Genomic DNA, 3,916 nt, shown 5'->3' on the forward strand with positions numbered 1-3,916 from the left:
TTTTGATAACCAACAAACAATGTGGAAACTGCATTTTTCCCTGTAAATAGGGGCATGCTGAAAGATGGAAATGCAAAAAAAAAAAAAAAAAAAAGAAAGAAAGAAAAGAAAAACTTCAACACACTATGTAAATCCTTGGAGGGAAGCAAGAAATCACACAAAGCATTGATCTTTTACTTTTTTTAATGCAAGATTTACACACATGTAGTTTTGTGTTTCTTTGCTAACCCCTTTTCCTCCACGGATAACTGTTAAAATCATTCTCCCACTTAGTTCCCTTATTTAGTACCTCCTTAAAATTCAAGCTATTACTTCTTTTAAGGAGCAAAATTTGCAGATATTATCCTACTCATCTGCATCTTCTCCGAGACTATAAATTATCAGGATGCACCTCATGTCTAGACACCCGCAGGTGTCATTTGAATCCCTGATTTAAGCTGTTTACACCCCACGTTGTTTTATTTATCCTTCAACATCAGGTCTCTGTTTAATTAAAATTTACTTTGGTCCTCCTGGCGCTCGCCCGCACTATCCCCATAGCAGCACAGAAGTGGTTTTGCTCTTATTAATTCCACTTTTGCCTGTCTGCTCTAACCCAAGAAAGCTCTGCCCGCCCAGATCCCCAGCTTGAGTGTTGGAGTCAAAAACCACAAGCTAGGGCCAAGGATGCCTCCCGTTTACAAGCTGTTCTGCAGGCTAACGCTGATCTTCCCCAGACGCTAAATCATAATCTTCGTGTTTTTCGTATTTCACATTCTAGCCACAATTTCAACATCCCATCCCCGTGACATTAGGGAATGATAAATCAGCAGGCGGGACAGTTCCCCTGTACAGACTGGTACGGGCGGACCGGGCTCTGCCAACGCCCTCGCTCCTGCCAGATGTCGGCGCCCGCGGGGTTAACCCTTTCCGGCAGCGCAGCCTTCCCCTGCGTCCGGCCGCTTCTCCAGGCAGCTGTTTTTAAAAACGTCCGCCTCCCAGGTTCAAGAGCGAAACTCCGTCTCAAAAAAAAAAAAAAAAGTTCGATAGCTTTTATTTCTTTTCAAACTTTCCTCCTTTTTTCCCCCTTCTCCCTCCTTTCCTTGCCTTGCCAGACCTCAGTGTACTTGAAAGCAAATAAAAATGGTATCAAACCACCGGCAATGGGAATATATACTTCTCTTAAATAAGTGAGTCTGCCTTAAAACCATTTTGCTCCTTCGTCTTCACCGGATATTACTAGAAAAGGACGAGGGTGAAAGAACTTATTTTAAGGTGGAGAAATATTTAGTGCTAATTTTTTAGTTATTTGCTATTTTTAAGTAGCTTTATTGAGGTATAATTTACATATCAATGAATGCATCTATTTTACCAGTACAATTAGATAGTTTTTGAATATATTTATAGAATTGTGCCACAATAGGAATAATCTAATTTTAGAACATTTCTATCCCCTCCCCCCACCAAAAACCCGCAGTGTCCATTTGCAGTTATTTCTCTCTCCCACCCCAGGTAACCGCTAATTTACCTTCTGTCTCTATAGGTATGCCTTTTCTGGGCATTTTATACAAATGGAATCATACAATAGGTAGTCTTTTGTGTCTGGTTTCTTTCACTTAGCCTAATGTCTTTGAAGTTCAGTGCTAATGGCTTTTATTGTATGGCAAAGCCCCTTAGAATGGCCAAACTGTCCCAGAAGACTACATAATCTAACTGCACTAAGTGTGCTCTCATAGTACACACTGCATAGACACGTGCCCTAAAATAGGGTGAGAACTTCGATTAGGGTCAAATTCTGAGGTGTGTGTCTGGGGATGGGGGTGGTGGCGGGTCTGTCAAGGGCCATATGCAAATACAAAGCTTCTCAACTAGTAGTTGTATTGGTTTTGTTTCAGAGACAGAAATCCAAAACATTCAATTTACTTGTTATTAAAATGGCACATGAAAGCCACGTAGCTTTCAGAATACAAGGGCTTTTAAGCTATCTCCTTTTCACATTATCTAATAACATTCCATATGTTAAAACTAAATACAGTTGACCCTTGAATAACTTGTGGGTTCGGGACACCTACTTCCATGCAGTTGAAAATTCAGGTTTAATCTTTGACTTTCCCAAAACTTAACTACTGTTGACCTGAAGCCTGATAACAGAAACAGTTGATTAACACATATGATGTGTGTTATATGTATTATATACCATATTTTTACAATAAAGTAAGCTAGAGAAAATGAAATGTTATTAAGAAAATCATAAGGAAGAGAAAATATATTTACTGTTCATTAAGGGGAAGTGGATCATCAAAAAGGCAAGCCTTCATCCTCGTCATCTTCACGCTGAGTAGGCTGAGGAGGAGGAGGAAGAGAAGGGGTTGGCCTTGCTGTCTCAGGGGTGGCAGAGGCAGAAGAAAATCTGCCTATAAGTGGACATGTTGTTCAAGGGTCGACTATATACATTTCAGTGTTTTACATACTAAAATGATATGCTCATGTGGAAAGTGTTTTTATATTAACTACTATATAATTAATATATAGTTATATAATTAGCTATATAGTTATATAATTATAACCAATTTTTAAATTAACTAATATTATATAATCATTAAGGGAGAGCGAAAGAGAAACTAAAAGAATAGGAGGTCAAAGGCAAGCAAAAGGAAGAGAGATTTGTGAGGTGAGAGGGGAGAAGCATGAAAGAGAGTAATCTGCCTGCCCCTGCTCCAGTTCTGTTCTCAGCAGGCAGTGATGGCTTTGCAGCTTTTGGCTGCTCTTTCGAACTTCCATCACAGAATGTTCACTACAGTGCCCTGATGGGGAGCTCTTCTCCTAACTGAGGGTGATGCCTATAGCGGTGGTTCTCAGCCCTGGTTGCACATTACTATCACCTGGGGAGCTCTGAAACCATACCCATGCCCTGGCGCAATCCTAAATCAAGTGCATTACAGTGGGACCTGGGCACAAGTACATTTGAAAAGCCTCTCCAGGGGATTCTAATGTGCAGGCCCGGGCTGGGAACCAGTGGGCTTGATAGAGCAGTGCTTATCAAACTTTTACACACATAACGATCACCTGGTGATCTGGTTAAACTGTAGATTCTGAGTCAACAAGTCTGAGGTGGGGGCCTGAGAGTCTGCTTTTATAATAAGCTCCCAGAAATGCTGATGCTGCTGGCCCCTGGAACACATTTTAAAAGGTGAGGAGCTAGAGAAAATCCCAGGTTCTTTTTTTTTTTTTTTGGCATGGCATGGAGTATTCCATCATCTACTTCTGTTGGTTCTTAAAGTGGGGCCCTCCAAACCAGCAGCATTAGTATCACCTGAGAACTTGTTAGAAATGCAAATCCTCAGTCCCTACCCCAGATTTATTAAATCAGAAACTCTGGGGGGCAGCGCCCAGCAATTTGTGTTTTAACAAGTCCTGCAGGTGATGTTGATGGACATTTAAGTTTGAGAGCCACTGATCTACTTTTTTTTCCTAAGCATGCTATGCCTCTATATATGTATTCCTTCTAGCTGGCATCCCTTCGTCTTACTGCCTACTCCTCCATCCAAAGCTCTCGCCAAACTGAGATTTCCATTCTGCAAAACGCACCTTTTCTCTGACATCTTCTATCCTGTCATATGCTGGTGTTTCATAATTGGCCTTCCTAGGGCCCTGATGCATAGCATTTGCTGATTTCTGTGGTGTAAATACTCCCACCATGGCCACCTTCAAGCCATGAATGTGAAGACGCTAAAAGCAGACTTGGGAAGAGATGCACACTCACTACAGAGATGGGCTCTGGCTAGCTGGTTCCAGCACACAACTGTTCCGCTAGAGTTATCCCACCGTCTTACATATTTGGCTGTATGTCTGTCTCCTGGCTAGATAGTGCATTCCTTAAGGTTAGTTCCATGTCATTTCTCTCTGCCCTCCACCGTCTCTAGAATGGGGCCAATAC

General features: G+C 41.6%; 1 long non-coding RNA gene across 3 annotated transcripts; it reads right to left on the reverse strand.

The window, feature by feature from the left end:
• Window positions 1-237: 237 nt before the first annotated feature.
• On the reverse strand, window positions 238-3,916 carry LOC105370934 (uncharacterized). 3 transcript variants are annotated; one of them, XR_932547.2, is made up of 4 exons: window positions 3,813-3,916; window positions 3,568-3,719; window positions 2,254-2,322; window positions 1,068-1,218 (listed from the first exon to the last, which is right to left on the reverse strand). It is a non-coding gene; the product is annotated as an uncharacterized LOC105370934 (long non-coding RNA). The 3 variants fall into 3 exon arrangements; XR_932546.2 differs by lacking the exon at window positions 1,068-1,218 and adding an exon at window positions 238-1,001 and having other exon boundaries at window positions 3,568-3,916; XR_932545.2 differs by having other exon boundaries at window positions 3,568-3,916.

Source organism: Homo sapiens, chromosome 15, assembly GCF_000001405.40.
Source record: "Homo sapiens chromosome 15, GRCh38.p14 Primary Assembly".
Taxonomy (NCBI): Eukaryota; Metazoa; Chordata; class Mammalia; order Primates; family Hominidae; genus Homo; species Homo sapiens.